The sequence below is a fragment of the Homo sapiens genome, chromosome X (assembly GCF_000001405.40).
Source record: "Homo sapiens chromosome X, GRCh38.p14 Primary Assembly".
NCBI lineage: Eukaryota > Metazoa > Chordata > Mammalia > Primates > Hominidae > Homo > Homo sapiens.
In genome coordinates this window covers 106,802,466-106,829,328 of record NC_000023.11, presented here as the reverse complement: position 1 = coordinate 106,829,328, position 26,863 = coordinate 106,802,466, and the positions used below count along the sequence as shown (strand labels likewise).

At 36.3% G+C, this 26,863-nt stretch overlaps 1 protein-coding gene across 6 annotated transcripts in view; it reads right to left on the bottom strand.

Moving 5' to 3' along the window:
• TBC1D8B (TBC1 domain family member 8B) overlaps positions 1 to 26,656 on the bottom strand; it is a 73,478-nt gene extending 46,822 nt beyond the window's left edge. For 5 of the 6 annotated variants that reach the window (XR_001755701.2, NM_017752.3, NM_001441214.1 and 2 more), the window contains exons 1-7: positions 26,346 to 26,656; positions 10,556 to 10,666; positions 8,334 to 8,452; positions 7,127 to 7,352; positions 5,863 to 6,103; positions 3,092 to 3,299; positions 1,992 to 2,159 (exon numbers count right to left, since the gene is read on the bottom strand). Coding sequence is in view for 5 of the 6 variants with exons in the window: in NM_017752.3 (NP_060222.2) it covers positions 1,992 to 2,159; positions 3,092 to 3,299; positions 5,863 to 6,103; positions 7,127 to 7,352; positions 8,334 to 8,452; positions 10,556 to 10,666; positions 26,346 to 26,475 (1,203 nt within the window). In the remaining variant the exon portion in view is untranslated. The remainder of the gene's footprint in view (positions 1 to 1,991; positions 2,160 to 3,091; positions 3,300 to 5,862; positions 6,104 to 7,126; positions 7,353 to 8,333; positions 8,453 to 10,555; positions 10,667 to 26,345) is intronic. The other variant, NM_001441215.1, reaches the window with a different exon arrangement.

Genomic DNA, 26,863 nt, shown 5'->3' with positions numbered 1-26,863 from the left:
ATGAGCATGGAATTTTCTTCTATTTGTTTGTATCCTCTTTTATTTCCTTGAGTAGTGGTTTGTAGTTCTCCTTGAAGAGGTCCTTCACATCCCTTGTAAGTTGGATTCCTAGGTATTCTATTCTCTTTGAAGCAATTGTGAATGGGAGTTCACTCATGATTTGGCTCTCTGTTTGTCTGTTATTGGTGTATAAGAATGCTTGTGATTTTTGTACATTGATTTTGTATCCTGAGACTTTGCTGAAGTTGCTTATCAGCTTAAGGAGATTTTGGGCTGAGACTATGGGGTTTTCTAGATATACAATCATGTCGTCTGCAAACAGGGACAATTTGACTTCCTCTTTTCCTAATTGAATACTCTTTATTTCCTTCTCCTGCCTAATTGCCCTGGCCAGAACTTCCAACACTATGTTGAATAGGAGTGGTGAGAGAGGGCATCCCTGTCTTGTGCCAGTTTTCAAAAGGGAATGCTTCCAGTTTTTGCCCATTCAGTATGATATTGGCTGTGGGTTTGTCATAGATAGCTCTTATGATTTTGAGATATGTCCCATCAATACCTAATTTATTGAGAGTTTTTAGCATGAAGGGTTGTTGAATTTTGTCAAAGGCCTTTTCTGCATCTATTGAGATAATCATGTGGTTTTTGTCTTTGGCTCTGTTTATATGCTGGATTACATTTATTGATTTGTGTATATTGAACCAGCCTTGCATCCCAGGGATGAAGCCCACTTGATCATGGTGGATAAGCTTTTTGATGTGCTGCTGGATTCGGCTTGCCAGTATTTTATTGAGGATTTTTGCATCAATGTTCATCAAGGATATTGGTCCAAAATTCTCTTTTTTAGTTGTGTCTCTGCCCGGCTTTGGTATCAGGATGATGCTGGCCTCATAAAATGGGTTAGGGAGGATTCCCTCTTTTTCTATTGATTGGAATAGTTTCAGAAGGAATGGTACCAGTTCCTCCTTGTACCTCTGGTAGAATTCGGCTGTGAATCCATCTGGTCCTGGGCTCTTTTTCGTTGTTAAGCTATTGATTATTGCCACAATTTCAGCTCCTGTTATTGGTCTATTCAGAGATTCAACTTCTTCCTGGTTTAGTCTTGGGAGAGTGTATGTGTCGAGGAATTTATCCATTTCTTCTAGATTTTCTAGTTTATTTGCGTAGAGGTGTTTGTAGTATTCTCTGATGGTAGTTTGTATTTCTGTGGGATTGGTCGTGATATCCCCTTTATCATTTTTTATTGCGTGTATTTGATTCTTCTCTCTTTTTTTCTTTATTAGTCTTGCTAGTGGTCTATCAATTTTGTTGATCCTTTCAAAAAACCAGCTTGTGGATTCGTTAATTTTTTGAAGGGTTTTTTGTGTCTCTATTTCCTTCAGTTCTGCTCTGATTTTAGTTATTTCTTGCCTTCTGCTAGCTTTTGAAAGTGTTTGCTCTTGCTTTTCTAGTTCTTTTAATTGTGATGTTAGGGTGTCAATTTTGGATCTTTCCTGATTTCTCTGTCCTCTCTAATATTTTACTAGTAAACAGATATACCACTATTTTGCTTTTGGCCAGATTATGTAAATAAGGCTGACCTATAAGATATTAAATAAAAGATATCCAGACAGGTTTAAAATTGCTATGTCTTTGCAACAGTAAGAGGAGTCCTTTTTCGAGGCCTCACTGAATTCTCAAATATATTTTGACTTCTTAAAAACCAAACTATGTGAAAGTACAAGGTATATTTATATGGTAAACAGCAAATAGAGTAAAAGAAAGATCAAATTATAGTAATTTTATAATGTATGGGTTCCTAAAAATGAATAAAGTCCTTAATTCTCACTTCTGCTTAAGGATGTGAGTTAGACAATATAATTTCTTAGATTCTATCTTTAAAAAAAACCCCTGGGCATAAATAGGAAAGGTACTATGAATTCCTCTTGAAGAATGGGCTACACTAAACACACACCTTTTTTTCCAAATGATTTGATTGCTGTATAATTAATTACCTCTGTGCTAATATCATGATATTGAGTTGAAGCTGCTCCGCATCTGAGCCTGAGTTTTGCTACCAGTTGTTCAAAGTCTTTAACTTCATGGAAGCGAAAAGCTGTTTTTCCTTTGATGCTAATGATGACAGATTTGCTGGAATCATTTGTCTTATCTATAGCTAAGACCTAGGGGGTGAAAAACATAGAGGTCAATTAAATTTTCCTTTATTGTTGACACCTTCAAGTAAAATGTGTTTGGCTTACTCTTTTGTGGCCAAAAGTTTTGGTCTATAGTATGACTTATTAAGAAATAGACTTTGGGTACTAGTTGCACCAATCATACAATTAACCTCAGTGCAAGTTATTTCACTTCTCAAGAAAAAGGTCTAACATGTATCCTTTAAAAATGACAGTACAAATGTAAAAATTCAGTATCAAATACCAACAATTTATTTCTGACTTACGTAAAAGATGTCAATGTTATTTTTTTCTGACAGAGTACATCAAAAGTGATAGTCTAACTTTACCATTTAGTAAAGTCTTACAGCTCTTACTGAAAGTGAAAATTTTAAAACTTTAAAATTTAAAAACAAGATAAGCATTTAGGTTAATGCAAAATGGAGCTTGATCATTCAAAAATGTATGACATTCTCAGCAAACTATCGCAAGGACAAAAAAACCAAACACCGCATGTTCTCACTCACAGGTGGGAACTGAACAATGAGAACACATGGACACAGGAAGGGGAACATCACACACCAGGGCCTGTTGTGGGGTGGGGGGAGGGGGGAGGGATAGCATTAGGAGATATACCTAATGTTGTGACGAGTTAATGGGTGCAGCACACCAACATGGCACATGTATACATATGTAACTAACCTGCACATTGTGCACATGTACCCTAAAACTTAAAGTATAATAATAAAAAAAGACTTTACTAAATGGAACTGAGAATATCTCAGAAGGCTGTACTCTTATTCTGAAGAATAATTATTTTAAATTACTAAAAGGATATTGCATCTTGAGGTTTTAATAATTTATAGAATTAAAGGACATTTTACTCTGTGAAGGATAACATTTTCAAACTAAAAACTGATATGTAACCAAATTTACATTACCTCTCGTAGTGGAATGATTACACTACACTGATTGCCATCTTGGCTAGCAAAGCAGATATAATTTTCTGAGATGCACATTTTCCCATGAGTATTGAAGTGGCTGAATGGTACCCATAAGAAACATTCATGTACTTCTTTCAAACTCTCTCCTTTGGGCAGCCTAAAAAAGGCATTAAATTGCTCACTGTGGGCTCTATTTTCCAGACCTCTGTAGGAAAGAAAAAATGGGATAAGGCACAAATGAATTTTTAGAAATGAATTCTAAGGTATACATATGCCTATATTGACTAATCTACATACACTGTGCACACAGATTAAACACTAAAAATGCTATATTTTTCAACAAATTCTGAAATAGAAAAAAATACACTGATTCCTTGCAAACTCCTTTTGTTTGTTCTTTTCTTCCAATTTCATTTTATTAGTAGATTAAAATGCACAAAAGTTAGAGATCATGTAGGTCTTCAAACTATCTCTAAGGGGTGATTTCCTAGAAGACTATTATATTATCATATAGGCATAATATGTGACTATGGTTAAAATCAATCCTGGAAGACAACAATGTTCCTATCTGGTTACCAGAAAATCAAGCGAGTTACCCAGTTCAAGTAAAATAAAATAATGAAAATTTGTGGCATAAAAATTTAGAGGGAAAGAGTAGTCTATTAAAGACGATATTAAAAATTAAGTGAAGTAAAATTTTAAATGAATGTTTTAAAAAATCTAAAGTAGAAGTATGATAAAATAATACTGCTTGTACTATGTTGGGCACAGGATAGGTGTCAATAAATACAGAGGGCTTATTAACTGATAGACAAATGTAGCCTTTGTGTAAAAAGCAATTGCTTTAAATAGTATAATTTTTTCTAGGCACACGAAACAATTGCATTAAGCAGCAATGCCATCTGGGATAATAAGTAAATAATGCAAGTTCTAACTCAAATCCAACAAAGCTAAAACTAAATTCATTCTTCCTGCATATACTATTTAAATATGTGGTAGTTCATCATGTCTTTCAAAATACTTCGGATAAACATGAACAGAAAAACACAACCATGTTAATTTTTACCTCAGTTAAATGGTATTTTTTTCAAACTGGGAAAGCTAATAAAACAAATAAATTGCAATTTTGTGGGTTCACTATTATTTAAATAAAATAAAGTCCATTTATGTGAATAGAAAGTTGTCCATGATACAAGAGAAAAAAAGCAGATTGTAGAACAATGTGTGATGTCCAGACCTATTTTTGCAAATATTTATAAATTCATGCATTAAAAAGCCTAGAAGGATATACGCTAAACTTAACTATCATTACTGTGCTTCTGTATTGTTTAAACTATAAAAGTAATACATATTTGTAAAAACAATAAGCAGAGCAATAAAGATATTCCATTTTATAAAAAAGCCATTTGGAGACTAAGTCCCAATAAATTACTGTTCTTTTTAACTTACTAGAAAAAAAGATGTAGATATGTACGATTTTCAATGGGCTCTCCTAAAAATGCACACAGACAAAAATGGATTTATTATATCTTAATTAAATACCGATTTGGTGATGAATAACTCATTGATAGCCTTTTAGACTGTATTTTAAGGGAAATAAAATGGCAAAACAGTTTGTTTATGGTTGCCAATAAAGAAATGAAATACAAAAACAAACGCCCACCTATAATATAATACAAACAGGATTCTTAATCCTTATAGAATTCTATTTATAAATCATGCATACTGAGACCTAGTTTTGGTACTGAAGTATAAAAAATTTACCTTGCTGATCTAATTTCCATAAAAGCAGGGAGGCTCACAAACAAATCCTCATGTATATCAATTTTAGGAATAGTTTAGGAACAGGTAAGAGGAACAACTGTACCCAATGAGGGCTATGTAGTGATCATACAACCTTCTAGGTCACTTGTTCTGGTCTATCCATAGGACTTTGGCTTAGGTTCCTCTTATACTTTCCCATATAGTCTATACTGACATCCTCCTTGCCAGAAGCTGCTTTCACTAGCTATTTCTGGATCATCTCCTCTCCTTTTCCCCTTTGGCATGCTCATTTTAGTCAACTGTTCAGAATGTTCAGCAGGATAAAAGATATCTGGTCAGTTTCAACAAACCAAATATAATGGCAAACAGCTATCAGACACATACTTCTGAAGGAGGCACTAATAATGATTAATATTTGCCTCATATTTTATATTTTACAAAGTGCTTTCACACATATCATGCCCATTCCTCATAAGTGCCCTCTGAGGTAGAAATGACAGATGAGGAAACTGAGGTCCTGAGAGATATGACTTGTCTAAGGGTTGTTCTACTTTCATTCTAAAGTCCATGCTCCACTGACTCCACGAACTTGCCTCTTCATTAAAAAATGTTTTCTGTAAGTTATTTTAAAAAATAAACAATATGTTTAACAATTTCAGACCCAAACTGTCTAGACTATTCATAGAGAAATTTAGAGTTAGACTAACCACACATAAAAATCTCTGCATTTCTAAAAGCATTCCAGGGCAAGTCCTATCTGAATCTCAAGAAATAATTTTCAAATCTAACTTCTATTATTTCTTACAATTAAATTTCCTGGAGAGAAGGGTACTATTTATGTAATGCATATGAATAAACTCACAAAACACACACACACCCACAATCAACTCCAAAAAAAACCCTATCATATAATATAGAAGAGTTAACTTTTAATGGTAAGCAATACTATCTTCATTCTTATGGTCAAACAATACTTTGAAAACTAAAAATTAAGCTTTGAATACCTTTTGGTGATCTGTAGAGGATTATAAAGGACTGGGTCATTATCAAATGTTTCCTTATCAAAAAGTCTTCTAATGGCATAGTTTGCCAGCTGTTCCATAAGAAGGTATGTTTGGTTAATGTGCAAAAACATTGAAAAGTAGTGATTCTCTCCTTGGGAACACACGTGAATACTCTCTGTCAGTATGACATTTGAAGTCTTTTCAAGTTTTGAGACTTCATCCCAGGAGATAATGAGTTTTACTGCAAATAAGAGGTATAAGCAGGTATGATTAAATTTTCATAGTGATTTATGTTTATTAATCAGTTCTTCTGAAACAATAGTTAATCCCTTGAAAAATACTATAAACAGCTAAAATAGTTTAGAGTTCAAGATTAGTTAAAAATTTGAAGCATCAACATGAACGTGCAAGAATTGGTGATTCCAGGAAGAGATCTAATTTTAAATAATTTCTTTTGAGATAGAGTCTCACTCTGTTGCTCAGACTGGAGTGAGGTGACATGATCATGGCTCATTACAGCCTTGACCTCCCGGGTTCAAGTGATTCTCACATCCCAAGTAGTCCCCCCAAGTAGCTGGGACTACAGGCATGTGCCACCATGCCCAGCTAATGTAATTTTTTTTTTTTTTTTTGTAGAGACAGAGTCTCACTATATTGCTCAGGTTCGTCTTGAACTCCTGGGCTCAAGTGATCCTCCTGCCTTGGCCTCCCAAAGTGCTAGGATTATAGGCGTGAGCCACTGTGCCCAATTTAATTTTAGATAATTTTTAAAAAAAATGATTCTGATTTGATATTTAAATCTATCTCTTTATATAATTACATAATTATATAACTACCAATGTAAAAGCTGTTTGTATGCTATAAATAGCACTGTTTGATTCTTCTTTGTAGCTACAAAGTGAGATGTGGGCCATTAGGTACTATGGCCACTATATTCAAATTGTATGTTTAAAATAGATTAAAACACAGACTAAAGCATGTAGGTAGTTCATAACAAGGAATTGAAAGCAGTCATATGCCAGATCATCATTTAATACTGACTCACTTCCCACGATATGCAAGGCATTCTATATACACTTCTAATGGTTTTATGTTAAGCAACCAGTCTTAAAAGAGTTCTTTCCCTAGATGAAATAAACTTTTTATTGTACAGTTTAATTACCTTTAATATCAATCCTATTATTTTATTTACAACCTAACATCATTAGAGTTGGTAGGTCAGACAGCAAATTCAAGGCCATAGTAAGCAATAGAAACCACTTACTTTCTGATCCCAACAAAAAAGAATAGAAGCTCAGAAAGTTGGTGCTAAGATAAAGCCAACCCTGACAAGGAACCCGTCCTTTCCAATAACTGCATGAATAATAGGTCACTAACTTCTCCTTCTCTGGTAAACCAAAACATTTTTCAAATTTCAAAAGGGCTTCTCGAAATTTCTCAGGATCATCTTCTTTTGCAAAACAATGTTTTCCCTCTTCAGCAATTAATCCCTAAAGGAGACAAAATATTTTCTGAAAATTCATCACCTACCAACAAAAATATATTTCATACATTCAAACAGTTGATTGAATACAATTGTACAGTCAGCCCTCCATATCCATGGGTTCCTCATCCATGGATTCAACCAACCAGGGATTGAAAATATTTGGGAAAAAAATTCTACAAAGTTCCAAAAAGCAAAACTTGAATTTGCCATGCACCGAAGACTATGCAGAGTCCACTCAAATGAAGTGATGCATAGGCATTGTATTAGGAATGAATAGTCTAGAGATGACTTTAGGTATATAGGCAGATGTGCATAGGTTATATGCAAATACTATGCCATTTTATATTAGGAGACTTGAGCATCTGTGAATTTTGGTATCTACAGCGGCGGCCAGAACCAATCCCCATAGATACCTAGGGACGACTGTATATATCTATACAGGTACATATATCATATGTGTGTACATAGATAATTCTCTTAGGACAGAGGTAAGCAAATTTTCTTCAGTTTTGTGCTTAGGTTTTTTTCTGAATGCCTCATAAGGAACTACTACAAATACAAGTGCTAAATATATTTTTTTGAATGAACAAATGGTTTATTCAACTCAAAACTCAAGAGATATTGAAACAAAAATGCCCCTAAAAGCATTCACAAGGGCACCAAAGACAAACATTTAATGAAAGGGGAAAAAAGTAAATCCAGCTCATGAGAAAATATATAAAATTCTGAAAACAATATGTCAGTAATTGGTACCTAAAGAATAACCAGTATGTTTTAAGAGAATATTTCAATATCTATCAATCTCCCCCTGTGCTAAAGACTTTACAGTTTTCTTTAGCACACTGATTCTGAAATTCATATGTTCGTTTCTACCAATCCTGAAAGGTGCCAGTGAAACAATGACCTTCCATGCAAACTTTGATCCTCATACATGAGAGTCAAAGGTTTTGGCACTCCATCTACAAGATATATCCGTGCCACTTACTCTTATTTTTCCTTGTACAAAATTAGTAATATCTTCATTTGAATCAAATACAGATAAGGTCTTCATAATATTTTGTTCCAACCAATCCCAATGCTTGGTTATTTCTTCTCTGTTGGCTCCTGATTAATAACACAAGAAAATAAAACACTTAAGGAAAACTCCACAATAAAACTGCTCTTGTTATTTAAAAGCATAGTTTAAAAAGAAATAACATTTTCACTTTAAAAAATGATGGTCATAAAGGAGTAAAATATTTACATTTATTCCTACTTTATCCCTCTATGTGGGCATGAACAGTACTTCTCATAAATAGAAAGAACAAAACATTTAATGAAAGGGGAGTAAAGTAAATCCAGCTCATGAGAAAATATATAAAATTCTGAAAACAAGATGCTAGTAACTGGTGCCTAAAGAATAACCAGTATCTTTTAAGAAAATATGTAGAGTACCAGAAAATACATAATGTGTAATTCAATCCTTGGTCTCCAAATAATGCAGTTAGTGCTGTGTCTATAATATGTGTGGCTGAAAACAGCATGTATGTGACAATCCTATGCATGCTAAGTAAATGTAGATTTTAACTGTGGCCACTCTACTTATTTCAGAAGCCACAAAACCTTTGCTCAGAGCAACCCCATTCATCAAAAGACCTAGTAAACTTACAGAAATTTCATACAGGAGGTTAGAAATTCTGTAGCAAGGTTAAATCCATGTGACCCGCTGAATCAGTGTTAAGAGGTTTGCTGAGGGTGAGATTAAACATTATTAGCCCTAGTTGCTTTGACTTGAAGAATATTTCAGTATCTATCAATCTCTTCCTATCACTCACATACCATTAAAGTCTTCTCAGCACTATGGATTATATAAATATTCAAAAGAAATATGCTGACTTTTTAGTATATTTTATAATATATGGAGACTGGCATATTAAAAAATTTGTTGACATTGCAAATGGCCTATTTCCTACAATTCAATCAGAATTTTATTCATGCTACTAAGTCACCATAGCAAGAGTAATAACTGTCTTTAATGGACCACAAATAAAAGCCATGGGGGAAATGTTAAGGCCTTAAGTTTGATTCTTTTGGTATAAGGAAGCTTCATTAGTAGGTAACTACACTATTTCTGCATCAGGTTAATTTGGGGGAAATAAGTTATACAATCATCTTTATTTAAGTAGAAAGGCCTTTTTTTAAAAAAAATAATTTTTACTAACCAGATTTAGAGTTGAGATTACAGAATTCTCGTGATGTCAGCAGGTATAATGTCAACCTCATTTAGGTTAAGTGACATTCACTTTAAGAGGGCCAGGAGGAAAGACTCACTGGCAACACTAAAAGAAATTTAGGCGGAAATATAAAAAACAAGCCACACAACCTAAAAAATTAATTGTATGCTATATGTTCACACATATGAATGTTCCAGAAACTCATGTGCTTTTGTTCTTTTTAAAAAATTATAATATATCTACTTTAGAAGAGAGGGGGATAAGAAGAAAGGCAGTTTTTCAATATCAAAAAGGCTAGAAATCTGGGATTCTAATTTAGACCAACATTATAATGGCATCATAAAAGGAAGTAAGAAACTGTCAATGCAGCTTTTTAAAAATTTATTTTGACTTGCTTTATTAGAAAGGATTATCCTAATTCCTTTTCTACCCATAATATATATGTTGAAGCATCTGAACCACCCTGGCATGAATGAATATGTAACATTAACTGTAAGACATTCCTTCATATTTCAAGGATATGATGCTTTTTCTGAGAAGGTGGGAATGAATAAAAAAGGTTTAATTTTCCAGGCTTATACTTCCTTAGGAGTCATTATGTTTTGGGTTCACAGATAACTTCAGATTCTTCTCATTTGAGTTATTAGTAATGAAACAATTTATTTCATGGAGAAGTTCTCATCTTCCCAGCAGTTGGATAAAGCAGAAGTTGAAGAAAGGAGTTATATAGCAGTAACACTGACCAAAATCTGTGCAGAATCAGCCCTGCTAGACCACATGCTTCAGGTCCCTCACACCAATGGATTAAAAAAAAAAAAAAAACTTAATAACCCATATCCTTTAAAAATAGAGGTCTTGCTATTCTCTCAAAGTAAAGTTGCACATTTAATTTGTTTTTAAATCTCAAAGCAACTACAGACTATAAATAAATATGAATACTCAGCTTTGTAGTACCCTTATTTAATTTGAATTATGTTTTAAAAATCATACTCACCACATGCAATTGACAAGTAAACTTGAGAATCTGGTGTCTGGTGTAGGATGCGAAATGGAGCTACTTTAGCAGTAGAGTCCAAGACTGAATCAAGAGTCCCAACCAGAAGCCCTGTTGTAATAGAAAGATTGTTGAAATAAGGACTTTACAAGAGATAAATCAAATCTGTATCACTTCATATAACAAACTAATAAATTTATTTTAAAACTTTTCTAGCCCATAGAGTCCTTACAGAGATTTTTCTTAAAGAAAAAATACATTTGGGATAAAGAGAGATTACAGTATGCCAATGTGAGTAGTATCTGAGAAAATTATCTTTCAATAAAAGAGTTAAGTCAGCTTCAATTGTCCAAATCTCAAAATGTATCTGCAGCACTTATGTATCTCGTTCATAAGGTTGTATGTATATTAGATAAGAATGTAGAATATAGTACTATAGACTAACTGGGTTTAAATTCTGGCTCTGTCGCTTGTGTCAACTTGAGCAAGTTAAAGTACTTACCCTTTCTGCATCCTCATTTGTAAAATAAGGTTAAAACAGATCCTACTACAAAGGGCTGTTGTAAAGATTAAATGAGTTGTTACATTTAACGCACTTAGAGCAATGCTTAGCACACAGTAAAACACCCGATATTAGTTAATACTATTATTATTTAAGAAAATCTTAGATATTTAAACAAGATAAAACCTTGATTAAATAAAATGCTTCTGTACAGGGATTTTCTTTTCAACAATTCTTAATTCCTCAATTAGGAATTCAAGGTTCTTGATCAATTAGTTCCAGTTTAATAATCTAATTATATTTCCTACTATTTCCTAGAACAAAGTTCACTGTTTTCTTAAACAACCAGTTAATTTCTCCCATAGGGTCTTTGCTAAGCAATTATCATTTTACCTAGAAATGCTAATGAAAAAAAAAGAAATCCTAATGAAAGTCTTCTAGTCCAGTCCAACTAATCTGAATTCTACATTTTCTTCAAGACCCACTTCCCCTATGAAATCCTCACTGGCTATCCCAAGCAATAATACTTTCCATTTTCTCTGAATATTCATAGGACTTAGAGTCTATACAGGTTGAGTATCCCTTATATGAAATGCTTGTGACCAGAAGTGTTTCAGATTTCAGATTTTTTCAGGTTTTGGATTAAGTGCATACACATACTGAGATATCTTGGGGATGGGACCCAGGTCTGAACATGAAACTTATTTGTTTCATATATACCTTATACATATAGCCCGAAGATAATTTTATACAATATTTTAAATAATTTTATGCATGAGTTTTGACTGCAACCTGTCACATGAGGTCAGGTGTGGAAATTTTCCATTTGCGGCATCATGTCAGCAATCAATGTTTCGGATTTTGGAACATTTCAGATTTTTCATTTTTAGATTAGTGATGTTTAACCTGTACTACACAACCTAGCATATATTAGGCTGGTTATTATAACTACTTTCTAAGAGCTTCATGTATATAATTTTTGTCTCTTTATCTAGATTATTTGTCCTCTGAGGACAATAACCATGTCTTCTGTCTCTGTGTTTATATCCATAACTTTCAACATATTGCTGCACAATAAGGATATAGTTTGTTGATTTAACCATATCAATGGGATGGCTGAAATATATAAATTTACCTTCCTTTTCTGGAAGCTCTGATTGGTTGAGTGTTGGTTTTGCTTTATGAGGCATTTCCCTTTAATTTAGAATACAGATTTTTAAGAAAAATTTAATTCAATTATAAACCAGGCTTTTGGCTCTCTTCCTATTTTGACCCACTTAAAAAGAATTGAGATTTTAAGCAAGGTTTGAATGAGAATATAGATAGATTGGCAGATGCTCACATTTGCCTCACATCACTTCCTATCACATTAGGAAGTTACATGCATAGAAGGAGGTAAACTAGAAGAGTAGGAGATAAGACAAAGACATAAAGAGAAATTTGGCTTAGCTGAAAGGAAAGGATAGGAGAGTAGATACAGGAATTGATAAAAAGTAAAAACAGGAGTCACAAATGCAGCATAGCATCAATTAGAAATTTTCTGAGGATTTTGATAGGGCAAAGTTCAAGAAAGAAGATTTTGGCAATGGCAGTATGTGCAGATTATAGAGATAAGAAGTTATCTGATATGAAAAAAAGTTCAAGTATGAATTGAAGCTTTTAAAAAATAGAAATGAGAAAACTGACAAATATTATGAAAGAGAAAGTATTGGGGAAAAGACAATGGGAATGAGGATGAGGGAAACAGAAAATAATTATATTTCAACTAATGAGGAGGGAATTACTGATGGGTTTGGGGATAAAAGGAAAAATAATTCTATCACTTTTAGCATTGAAATAGTGACTATGAGAAATTGGAGATTTGGTAAAGTAAAAAGAAAGAAAAGTAGGAGCCAAAATATGCAGATAGTGTCTTCAGAACTATGTGATTAAAATTACTGAGCATTTTATTCTCTTTGAAGCAATTGTGAATGGGAGTTCACTCATGATTTGGCTCTCTGTTTGTTATTGGTGTATAAGAATGCTTGTGATTTTTGTACATTGATTTTGTATCCTGAGACTCTGCTAAAGTTGCTTATCAGCTTAAGGAGATTTTGGGCTTAGACAATGGGGTTTTCTAGATATACAATCATGTCGTCTGCAAACAGGGACAATTTGACTTCCTCTTTTCCTAATTGAATACCCTTTATTTCCTTCTCCTGCCTAATTGCCCTGGCCAGAACTTCCAACACTATGTTGAACAGGACTGGTGAGAGAGGGCATCCCTGTCTTGTGCCAGTTTTCAAAGGGAATGCTTCCAGTTTTTGCCCATTCAGTATGATATTGGCTGTGGGTTTGTCATAGATAGCTCTTATTATTTTAAGATACGACCCATCAATACCTAATTTATTGAGAGGTTTTAGCATGAAGCGTTGTTGAATTTTGTCAAAGGCCTTTTCTGCATCTATTGAGATAATCATGTGGTTTTTGTCTTTGGTTCTAACAGTTAGGAATCCAACTTACAGGGGATGTGAAGGACCTCTTCAAGGAGAACTACAAACCACTGCTCAATGAAATAAAAGAGGATACAAACAAATGGAAGATCATTCCATGCTCATGGGTAGGAAGAATCAATATCGTGAAAATGGCCATACTGCCCAAGGTAATTTATAGATTCAATGCCATCCCCATCAAGCTACCAATGACTTTCTTCACAGAATTGGAAAAAACTACTTTAAAGTTCATATGGAACCAAAAAAGAGCCTGCATCACCAAGTCAATCCTAAGGCAAAAGAAAAAAGCTGGAGGCATCACACTACCTGACTTCAAACTATACTACACGGCTACAGTAACCAAAACAGCATGGTACTGGTACCAAAACAGAGATATAGATCAATGGAACAGAACAGAGCCCTCAGAAATAATGCCGCATATCTACAACTATCTGATCTTTGACAAACCTGACAAAAACAAGCAATGGGGAAAGGATTCCCTATCTAATAAATGGTGCTGGGAAAACTGGCTAGCCATATGTAAAAAGCTGAAACTGGATCCCTTCCTTACACCTTATACAAAAATTAATTCAAGGTGGATTAAAGACTTAAACATTAGACCTAAAACCATAAAAACCCTAGAAGAAAACCTTGGCATTACCATTCAGGACATAGGAATGGGCAAGCACTTCATGTCTAAAACACCAAAAGCAATGGCAACAAAAGCCAAAATTGACAAATGGGATCTAATTAAACTAAAGAGCTTCTGCACAGCAAAAGAAACTACCATCAGAGTGAACAGGCAACCTACAGAATGGGAGAAAATTTTCACAACCTACTCATCTGACAAAGGGCTAATATCCAGAATTTACAATGAACTCAAACAAATTTAGAAGAAAAAAACAAACAACCCCATCAAAAAGTGGGCAAAGGATATGAACAGACACTTCTCAAAAGAAGACATTTATGCAGCCAAAAAACACATGAAAAAATGCTCATCATCACTGGCCATCAGAGAAATGCAAATCAAAACCACTATGAGATGCCATCTCACACCAGTTAGAATGGCGATCATTAAAAAGTCAGGAAACAACAGGTGCTGGAGAGGATGTGGAGAAATAGGAACACTTTTACACTGTTGGTGGGACTGTAAACTAGTTCAACCATTGTGGAAGTCAGTGTGGGGATTCCTCAGGGATCTAGAACTAGAAATACCATTTGACCCAGCCATCCCATTACTGGGTATATACCCAAAGGACTATAAATCATGCTGCTATAAAGACACATGCACACGTATGTTTATTGCGGCACTATTCACAATAGCAAAGACTTGGAACCAAGCCAAATGTCCAACAATGATAGACTGGATTAAGAAAATGTGGCACATATACACCATGGAATACTATGCAGCCATAAAAAATGATGAGTTCATGTCCTTTGTAGGGACTATAAATCATGCTGCTATAAAGACACATGCACACGTATGTTTATTGCGGCACTATTCACAATAGCAAAGACTTGGAACCAAGCCAAATGTCCATCAATGATAGACTGGATTAAGAAAATGTGGCACATATACACCATGGAATACTATACAGCCATAAAAAATGATGAGTTCATGTCCTTTGTAGGGACATGGATAAAATTGGAAATCATCATTCTCAGTAAACTATTGCAAGGACAAAAAACCAAACACCGCATGTTCAGACTCATAGATGGGAATTGAACAATGAGAACACATGAACATACGAAGGGGAACATCACACTCTGGGGCCTGTTGTGGGGTGGCGGGAGGGGGGAGGGATAGCATTAAGAGATATACCTAATGCTAAATGACGCGTTAATGGGTGCAGCAGACCAGCATGGCACATGTATACATATGTAACTAACCTGCACATTGTGCACATGTACCCTAAAACTTAAAGTGTAATAATAAAAAAAAATTACTGAGGAAATAGAGAAGAGGAGAATGTTTTCAATTTGAAGATAGGAATGTGAAAATACTAAAAAAAGGGATAAAAGAGTAGTCGCAAAAGACAACCAAAAGAGCTATCACTATGTTGAAAAACAGAATTAAGTACATAAATGTGTGTGTATATAAATAAACATAAGTTGTCAAATTTGTCAAAATAAAGGAATTAGAATTTCAAATGAAGGCACTTTATTGAATACAGGATAGCTTTAGCAGATAACAGATAAAGATAAAAGATAACTATCTTTTTGAAGATACTGTTGAAAGATTAATGGTGGCTATGTGGATGTGAGAGGAGTAGTCAAAATCACTGGCAAGAAAGGTCACTTTTTGGCAGCAGAAATGTTCACAAGATTATAAGCGCCTTGTACTATGTAGAAAGAAAATTGCTCAGTTTTGTTAAGTGTGAAATCAGGCAGTTAGTATAAAACTATGCAAGAAATAATTTGGAAACTAGTGCTAGACTACATTTCTAGTCACTTGGGGAACTCTTCCAGCTCATTAAGCTGTAATCATCATCAAGTCCCTGCAAGTCATTCAGAAATTAATATGTACCAATTTCTGGGTTCTAAATACTCCCTCCTGGAGTATTTTAAAGTAAATTCTAGACATTGTATCATTTCATCCATGAATATCCAGTATCTTTTAGTTTATTTTAAAAGGTCCTCAGAGGCTGGGCTTGGTGACTCACGCCTTTAATCCCAGCACTTTGGGAGGCCGAGGCGGGTGAATCACCTGAGGTCAGGAGTTTCAGACCAGCCTGACCAATATGGTGAAGCCCTGTCTCTATTAAAAATACAAAAATTAGCTGGGCATGGTGGCAGGTGCCTGTAATCCCAGCTACTCAGAAGGCTGAGGTAGGAGAGTCTCTTGAACTCGGGAGGCGGAGGTTGCATCACTTGGAGTGAGCTGAGATTGCGCCGCTGCACCCCCACCTGGGCAACAGAGTGAGACTCATCTCAAAAATAAATAAATAAATGAATAAATAAATAAAAATAAAAGGTCCTCATTTGAATCTAACCTGTGGCCAATATTGAGCACATTGATCTATGGTATTAATTGCCCCTTCCAATATTTAGACACCTGCAAATTTCATAAACATTTCTTTTTTTGTATTAGGTCAATGGTAATGATGAACAGGTAGGGCAATGGGCTGAGTGCTAGAGGAAAGACCAGTAAAACAGCCACAGCTTGAAAATGATACTCATTATCAATGTGCTAGTTTAGTACACAAACTAAAATGTCCTTTAGTTTGACAAGTTGCTCTTTCTGTTTGTAAACTGGATTGAGGGCACTGTGTAAGTGAATACTGCTCTAGCTGCAGAAGAGCCATGTAATGAACTTCCTAATTACAAACAAGATTTATTTCCATTCTAAGTAAAATGTTCAATTATAATTTTTTCCACGGTAATGATTACTGGAAACTTACAGTGGATTCTTTATCTTGTCATAAGTTGTCATGCTTACAAAGTCAAACAAGTACAACTTTACTGAACTTAGTTTCATTATATGTTAATAAACAAACTAATTAGTAAACTGCCAATACACTTAGCAGGAAATATATTCAAATAAGAGAAGGTAGTGTGCTCAATAAAGTTTGTGGATTTTCCTGATTCTATTACTTTGCTACCAGATGTAAGTCCTTAAAATGACACTATGAATGCTTATTTTGGAATAATTCAATAGCCACAGTTGGCATTTTGAAAGCTGCCAACTTTATATTAAGAGCTTCGGAAAACAGTTAATAAAAATAATTCTTCTTTGGTCCTGTTTTCTCTCTCCCTGCATTCTTTTAAAGGGACTTACTTGAAAACTGAATATATATATATAAGCACTCATTTCCTTCCCTAACTGAAATCTTTTTTTCATTAAAGGATTTAGAATTTTTTAGGGAAGCAATTGATATAACAAACAACAGATTACAATGTCTTCTGGGAAAAAAAGAATAGATGAATTATTAATCAAACCCAGAAACATTTCTAAAGATAGAGACACAGGAAAATATGAGAATTGGTACTATATTTACAGCCACTTCTTACTCTTCAAGACCTATACACCAATGCACAAAAAGAGTAACCCTCAGAAAAGCAAATAAATTGCAACACCTGAATTTCTAGGTACAAAGAAGAAAGCAAATATGATAGCAAATGAATAAACTGGTATACAGTGTAGTACTTTTAAACATTATTTAGAAGAACTAAACCAGGCCCATCATTTTGGTTAGTTTAAAACAAGAGAGCAACTAATATTATAATAATAATCAGAAAATGTGATTACACCTTGTTTTATTTATTTATTTTGAGACAAGGTCTCACTCTGTCACCCTGCCTGGAGTGTAGTGATGCAATCTCAGCTCACTGGAGCCTCCACATCCCTGGCTCAAACGATCTCCCACCCACCCCAGCCTTCCGTGTAGCTGGGACTACAGGCGCATACCACCACGTCCTGCTAATTTTGTTTATTTTTTGTAGACACAAGGTCTTACTGTGTGGCCGAGGCTGGTCTCCAACTCCCGGGCTCAAGCAATTCTCCTGCCTTGGCCTCCCAAAGTGCTGAGATTACAGGCATGGGTCACCGTGCCCAGCCCTATACCTTGTTTTAAAACTTCAGTTCTTTATAGTGTAGTAAGGGAGGGGGAAAAAGGGGCATATCACAATGTGTATTCCTCTCCCTCCCTGGAACATTTTATTCTCTGAAATCAAGTAAAAAATTACCTTTAAAGATCTCTTTGCATAAGAAAGGGCAGCCTTATAGGAGATTTTGAGAAATAAAGTATGGCCAATGTCATGACTTTTCAGTCTTGTTTTTTCTTTTTCTTTTTTTCTTTCTTCTTTTTCCATTAGAATGAAATCTACTTGACAGGAAATATTAGTTTTCTACTTAGGTATGCAGTTAATAATCTTTCCACTGCTACCAAAAAAGTGGGGGGGTAACACTAATCATCCTTCATTTTTCAAAACCTCCTACAAGGTTGCCCTTTCTCATTCAGAGATGTTTAAAGGTAATTTTTTACTTGATTTCACAGGGACCAAGATGTTCCAGGGAGGGAGGGGAGCACACAGTGTGATCTGCCCTCTCTAGGGGTTGCTCTACGTGATTTTCCTTTTAATAAGCCAAAATGTTAATTTATTTGGCTTATGAGTTGAAACACTTCTAGTGGATATCTGATAGATTACTGACTATTTGCCTAATTTTATCTTACTTAATTGTTCTGGCTCAGAGCAGGATGGAATATCTTGTGGAAATTTTTGTTATACATAGGCTGTTTTATGTCCACTGAAAGAACAGTGGACACAAAAAACAAAGGTTTAATTATTAGGTCCCTTTAATTCTCTATCTCAGGTTTTCCTCTGGTATAGATTAAGACATTGCTCTTTAATAACCTTTTTCTAGTCGCTAAGTGCATTATATATTGAGTCTCATATTTTCAACTCCACGTAAATGAATCTAGAATATTTGCTGTGTCCCCAACAACTGTTATCTTTTGCTTTTGCACTATCACATTATTCCTCCTACTTAGAACGTCCCCCCTCCTCCCACCACTTCTACCAAACCACCTCTCAGATATTGTTAGTGCTCATAGATGGATGATTTAATTTGAAAACACCCCAAACTGGTTTTTGGCAAGATGCTTCACAGATGCCACACTGGAACTTTGCCACCAGTACACCACCTATTATTAATCACTGCTTTTAGGAAATATTTGTATCTTTAACAGGACTTCAGATAAGCATACTTTATAAGACAGCTGGCCTTGGAAAATTGCTTTGAGGGTTTCCCTGCATTATGGAGATTTCTAAGCCAACAGAACAAGGCTGCTATTATTATTGACTACACTAGCAATTGTATTGGTTTGCTTACTTATTTATCAACTGTCTGAGCCATCACATGATAAACTCCGTAAGGGTTGGAACTATTTCTGTCTTTTTTTTTTTTTTTTTTTTGAGACGGAGTCTCACTCTTGTTACCCAGGCTGGAGTGCGGTGGCGTGATCTCGGCTCACTGCAACCTCCGCCTCGTGGGTTCCAGTGATTCTCCTGCCTCAGCCTCCCAAGTAGCTGGGATTACAGGTGTGTGCCACCACGCCCAGCTAATTTTTGTATTTTTTGTAGAGATGGGGTTTCACCATGTTGACCAGGCTGGTCTCGAACTCTTGACCTCAGGTGATACATCTGCCTCGGCCTCCCAAAGCACTGGGATTACAGGTGTGAGCCACTGCGCCTGGCCAGAACTATTCCTGTCTTATTCACCACTGTATACTCAACACCCAGGACAAGGGCCAGCTACCACCCTATTTCTCTCTTTCCCTTCACAGAAAAAACTTCTAGAAAAAATTATATGTATTCACTCTGTTCCCAAATATTTGTTTGGCTCATATATTCTAGTACCACAAGTCTCTGTCCACAGCTCATCCTAAGAGGCCTTCCCAGACCAATTTCTCTAATATACCAACCCCCTCCCCTCTCTATCATGATACCTTACTTTATTTTTCTTCATATTGCTTATCAGCACCAGTCATATCATATACTATTTGTTTATTTGCCTCCCCCAACTACGGTATTAGCCCCATGAGAGTAGGGACTTTGTTTTTTTTCATTGCTTTATCTCCAGCACTTAAAACAGTGCTTGTTTTTTAAAAGGCACTCGGTAAATATCTGTTGAATTAAAGCATTGTATACCATCACATTTAGGATTTAATCTTACCTTTTGTGCTTACATAGCAGTAGCAAAAGGTGGAAAACTGGGCAAATGTTCTAAAATAAAGGCAATATAAAATCTGTCATAGCTGTACAGCAATGTGGCAAACATTATAATGCCTTTTACTTTTTAAAATATTTTTTATCTCACTATATTGCCTAGGCTGGCCTCGAACTCCTGGGCTCAAGCAATCCTCCCGCCCCAGCCTCCTAAGTAGCTGGGACTACAGGTGTGCACCACCATGCCTGACTGCTTTTTATTTTTTATTTTTAGCTTACCTTATAGCCATAAGCCTTCCACAACTGTTCACAAACAGCATGAGTTTTCACCAGTTGAATAATTATTTTTTAAGTATTGTTTTGAAAAATACTACTAAGGTAACCAATGTTATATGTACTCTTTATCACCACTCAGCAAGACAAGTGATGCTGATATCTACGGAAGCACTGTTTGAGAACTTCCAGGTTTTGGGCGATGACAGATCAAAAGGAAATGATGTCATGATAAGTTATTCTAATTCTTGTACATTATTCTGATTATAAACCATAAATGCATAATCACTATCATGCCCAAATTCTTCAATTAGTAACTATCAGTGTTTTGTTTTTGTAGTGATATCATTGCATATCAGATATAATCTATGTTACCACTCCAAATCAATTTCTATATACAACATGGGGAAAGTAATTACTAGGGAAAATGGCATAAATATATAACCCCTTTGTTCTTCAGGCCCAGAAAATGGCATTTTAACGTCTTTCTCTTTCATTAATAGATAAATGTCAAGTATTTGTATAGTTGCTCACAAGTTTCAAAACTCATTTGACCCACATAAAAAATGCTGTGAGGTAGGAAAGACAAGTTTTTATCCCCATTTTACAGATGAGGAAACTAAGCCTTTATAAAATAATTATAGCTGAATAGAGACATAAAACTATCAAAAAATCAAGGAAGATAAAAGAAACAGGGTTAATGGGGCAAGTGGAATCACTGAACTTGGTGTTATATTCATATATTTGTGGATGTTGGCTTGTAGTTGGTTTATTTATTATTATTATTATTGTTATTATTATTATTTGAGATGGAGTCTCCCTGTGTCACCTAGGCTGGAGTACAACAGTGCGATCTCGGTTCACTGCAGCCTCCACTTCCTGGGTTCAAGTGATTCTCCTGCCTTAGCCTCATCAGTAGCTGGGACTACAGGCACCCGCCACCAAGTCCGGCTAATTTTTGTATTTTTAGTAGAGATGGGGTTTCAACGTGTTGGCCAGGGTAGTCTCAAACTCCTGACCTCAAATGATCCGCCCGCCTTGGCCTCCCAAAGTACTGGGATTACAGGCGTGAGCCACTGTGCCCAGCCTGGTTTATTTATTTTTTATTTTTTTAAAATCCCATAGGGCAATACCTAGGGAGGGCAAATCACACTGTTTTCCTCTCCCTCCCTGGAACATTTCGTTCTCTGAAATCAAGTAAAAAATTACCTTTAAAGATCTCTTTGAATAAGAAAGGGCAGCCTTGTAGGAGATTTTGAGAAATAAAGGACGGTCAATGTCATGACTTTTCAGTCTTGTTTTTTCTTTCATTAGAATTAAATCTACTTGAAACCAAATATTAGTTTTCTACTTAGGTATGCAGTCAATAATCTTTCCACTATTCCAAAAAAAAAAAAAAAAAAAGGTGAGGGTAACACTGATCATCCTTCATTACTCAAAACCTCCTACAAAGTTGCTCTTTCTCATTCAGAGATCTTTAAAAGTAATCTTTAACTTGATTTCACAGGGACCAAGATGTTCCAGAGAGGGATGGGAGCACAAAGCGTGATCTGCCCTCTCTAGGGGTTGCCCCATGGGATTTTCTTTTTAATAAGCCAAAATGTTAACTTATTAATTTTGTGTGTGTGTGTTTGTGTGTGTGTGTATGGGGGGGGGCGGGTAGATCTTTCCTTACCTTAAATGAAATGTCATGCTTGGCACTTGGGCACCCTCATCTCAGTAGACAGGTACTTAGAAGGCCAAAATTTTTTTATCAGATATGTCCTTTGTAAGCATGAAATGCAGGGATATTTTGCTAATAACTAAGGCGCACATTTTCAGAGTTGGACTCCTTGAGTCTGGGGTGAGGAAATAGGGGAAAGAAGCTTTATATTTTCAAGGGATGGTCACTAAGAGGTTTTAAAAAGGTTACCTTATTGTTTATTATGTATGGGTTTATGACAAATTGTTTACACAGTGATTTGCTCAGTCTATATAAATATCATAAAATGAAAAGCTTATTTCAAATATTATCATATTCTGGTTTTTACAGACAATTTAATTTCAAAGTAATGGTACCAAGATGAAAAAGGAAATCAGAAACAGAATGTCTAAAAATTCTCCATTTTAATAAGTTTTACTTCGTAGCTTTGTTCTACACCACACAAAAAAGGTCTACTGAGGGAGCTTATCAATCTAACACTGAAGAACCTGCTTACACTATTCAGATATGGAAAATTCAAGACTAAAATACTCTTTAAAAACTACCTATATGAAGGCTTCCTGATTGGCAGACCTTCCTAAATCCCATATACTAGAGTACTTAGTAGAATGTAGCCCCATAGCTCCATTCGTGTAGTAGTTCCCATCTGCCAAGCAAAGCAAATTGATTTGTGCTTAATAAGACAAATATGCATAAATTAGTTTTAACTCTTTAAAACCAGGTGCTAAATGTAGGTGTCATAGAAAAGTCATTATTAGCTAGGAGAAGCAAGAGATAACATAAGGGGACCGTAAAATCCAGAAGGGTGAATTATTTCTCTAAATGAAGGAAAATCGCTTTATCTATAAAACCGCTTATGTATACCAAAAATTTCCACAAGATATTCCATCCTGCTGTGAGCCAGAACAATTAAGATAAAGTTAGGCAAATGGTCAGTAATCTATCAGATATCCACTAGAAGTGTTTCAACAATTTAAAAGAGGTACCTCAGAATTCTAACTTACAAACTCATCTCTTGTTTTAATAATCCTTGAGTTCTCTGTTGCTGCTATTCCATTATTAGAAAAAAATGGAGTCAACTAACTTTATCAAGTCCACACTTAAGAGTCATTACATTGCTGGTGATTACCACCAATTATCATATGGCAAAGAAATGAAATCTTAAAGTATAACCACTAAGGTTTCTAGATGATCATTATCATTTCTTCATTAAACAAAATGCATAAACTAATCTTTTAAAGGGATAACACATAACACTGGATTTTAGCAAACAAAGTGAACAGAGGCAAACTTATGCTGGCACACAGTCAAGCTCCTGTGAGAGCTAATCCAAATGTGGATTTGTGGTAAAGCACAACAAAGCTTTTGGCTTCATGATTTTAAGTAAGAATACAGTAATTGAGCAGCTAGGAAAATCAGCACACACTTATGCTCTGGACCAAAAAGAACCAAATGAACCTTAAAAGCACCTCTTTGTTTCTTTCTTATCCATTTTGTTTAATTTACATGGAATTACAGTGGTAGCTCTCATGTGGTAATTTCAAGCATCTTGTCAATACCACAGATAAAATAATCATGAAGAGTTATAAACTGACCACTAAATAAGTGTGGATATCACTAGTCACAACATATATATGTGGTAGAAATCTTAGTTTATTTCTTCAGACAAATTTCTCTTATTCTAGACTATGGGGACTAGTAAATGGAGTGGGCAGGATAGAGGTAAACTAGTGCAGTTGGTCCATGCTTTAAGAAGAAAGCATGTCAGGCTGGGTGAGGTGGCTCATTCCTTTAATCCCAATCCCAGTCCTTTGGGAGACCAAAGTGGGAGGATCCTAAGGCCAGGTGTTCAAGATCATGCCTGGGCAACACAGCCTGTCTCTTAAAAAAAAAAAAAGAAATTAGCCAGGCTTAGTGGCTTGTACCTGAAGCCCTAGCTACTCCGGAGGCTGAGGTGGGAAGATCACTTGAGCCCAGGAGTTCCAGGCTGCTGTGAGCTATAATCACATCACTATCACTGCCCTCCAGCCTGGGTGACAGAGTGAGAGATCCTGTCTCAAACAAAAAAAAAAAAAAAAAAAAAAGGAAACTTGCAACAAGTTAAAAAAAACATGCAATACTACATTACAGTGATTATATTTTCAAGAATTTGATTTACCTACTTAAAGGAACACAGTTTTAGTATGAGGAACGAAAATAAATTATAAGACTATTCCTGAGGCTGTAACACGGGACTATAAAATCTATTTTAATTTTTTTTTTCTTTTTGAGACAGAGTCTCCCTCTGTTGCCCAGGCTGGAGTGCAGTGGCCCTATTACGGCTCACTGTAGCCTTGACCTCCCAGGCTCAAGCCATCCTCCCATTTCAGTCTCTCAAGTAGCTGGGGCCACATGGCTGGCTAATTTTAGTATTTTTTGTAGAGATGGGGTTTCGCCATGTTGTCCAGGCTGGTCTTGAACTCCTGGTCTCAAGCAATCCACCTGCCTCGGTCTCCCAAAGTGCTGGAATTACAGGCATAAACCACCGTGCCCGGCCTGAAATCTATTTTAAATATATCCTGAACTATTCTCAATGGACTCAAGTGGATAATTTATGTCACTGGGTAATTATGAACATCGATTCTAAAATTTTGATCTCGAAAATATCTGCATCTATTAAATGGAAAGACTCTTCTGCAAAATAGCATTTGTAATTTTTAAAAATTAGAAAATGACAAAATGTCACATTTAACAGGGCAATTTTTGTTGCCATATTTTCGAGAGGGCCTTTTTAGAAGCTGGATAAGATTAATAGGTCTAGCAAAATTTTAAAAAATGTCCTGTAGAACCTCAGAATTCTTTGCACCCCGGGAGTGGCTTGAAAACGAAATAACAGCATACGTTTATCACCATCTTGACGACATACATTGATTTGGTGCTATTATCTTTCGTTTTATCCTCTCAACTCTGTGAGGTAGGCACCATTTTCCAAGAGAGAAAAAGCAAGGTCATCTCCTCCATGAATTATAACTTGCCTAGTTTACTAGGTGGTTTTCTTTTTCCTTTAGACCTTCCCACCCTTCTTATCCAGATTATAAGCACTGCAAAGCCAAGAAACTGAATCTTGTGAACCTTGTGGCACACAGTAGGTGCTTAAGGTTGAGTAAATGAAAGAGTTTGAGGAATGTCATCCAACAAGTAAGAGAGTAGGATGGGACTAAAATGCAGGTTTTCGGGACTCTTCCCTCTTTCCATTACATCACGCTGCCTGGTCTACCACTTCAAGGTCACAATACCAAATTAGAGATTGATTAGAAAAAGAGCTCTTGCTTTCCCAACGTCCAAAACTTTAAATATCCCTACCCAAGATGAGTGGTCTCAAAATAACTTTCTCTGGAAACTTTAAACATTTGGCCAAAAAACACTTTTTAAGAATTGGGGTCAGGGTGGGTTAGACAGGAAGAGTTAAACTCTTACCGTCTGGCTTACAATCACAGCTTTGAATGAAGGGGCAGCACCAGTCACTCAAGAGATTAATTTATTACGACGTTGTTAATAGCCTTTGAGAGGGGATCCCAAAGATTGAAAACTTGGAGACAAAGTAAAAGATGCTAAATTGGGAGAGATCAGCAATTCTGAGCCTACCCCTCCACCTCTCCTGACTCCAGTTCTCCCTCCTCCCTAATATTTCTTTTGAAGTCTATTTCTCAGGATGTGATTGGGCGCCTCCCTTTCTCCTCACCATCCCCGCGTACCCACTCCATCCCATCCCCCATACGCTTAATCTCCCCAGGGTGCTGATGATCGGTATGGGTTCTGTGAAAAAAGTTAAGTTCACAACTGCGAACTGGCCCCTGTCACCAGCCTAAATGCGACCTGTCTAGGTCTAACACTCATCATCAGCCTCCCTCCCCCCATGGGAAGCGACAAGGTAGGTACCCGTTTCTTCCTTGGCCTCAGAAAGAACCGCGCTCCTCCCTTCACCTGTCCCAACCAAAGAGCAACTCGTCGTCCAGTGAGACATTCTCAGGACTTGGAGGTGGTGGCGGAAAGGTGGTGTCGGGAGAAGAACCCCAGTCCCTCCGCCCACGATTTAGGATCGGGAAACTGGTAGCGACGAGTAACTGTTGTCCTCACCACCTTTTAAGTAACAGCGAACACAGCCCAGAGGCAGGTAGGGTGGCCACAGCTTACCTGTGAGCCCCCCTCCGCCTTCCTCCCCGTAGCCCCGACGCCGCTGCAGCACGAAGTAGTCGTTGGACCTTTCCATCAGCCACAGCTTCAGCGCATTTTTCAGAAGCACTTCCTCAGGCTTCAGCCACATCGCGAACTTTGTGCCCCCCGGGAGCAGTGACCTAGATGCCCTCCTCACCTCACTCTCAACCCGTCTCTTCCCCTCTGCTTCTCCTCCCACCAAATCTTCCTCAGGCGACAGCAGCTCAGGTTCAGGTTTTCCACACTTCCCCCAACCCTCCCTTCTCTCCCACGTAGGCAGAGAGATTGCCAATTCCCTCCCACAGCGCTACCGCCAGACTGGGAAATAGTCCCGCTTCTTTACCTCTTGGGAGTTGTAGTTTCCTACGCGCTTTTCTGTGCTCAAGCGACTGGAACATGGGACTACCCTTCCCACAATACACTGGGGTGAGAATGGGTGGGGGTGCTTTCAAAGCGGGTCCCAGCCATCAGTTAAGTGTGTTTTGCCTATCTGAAGT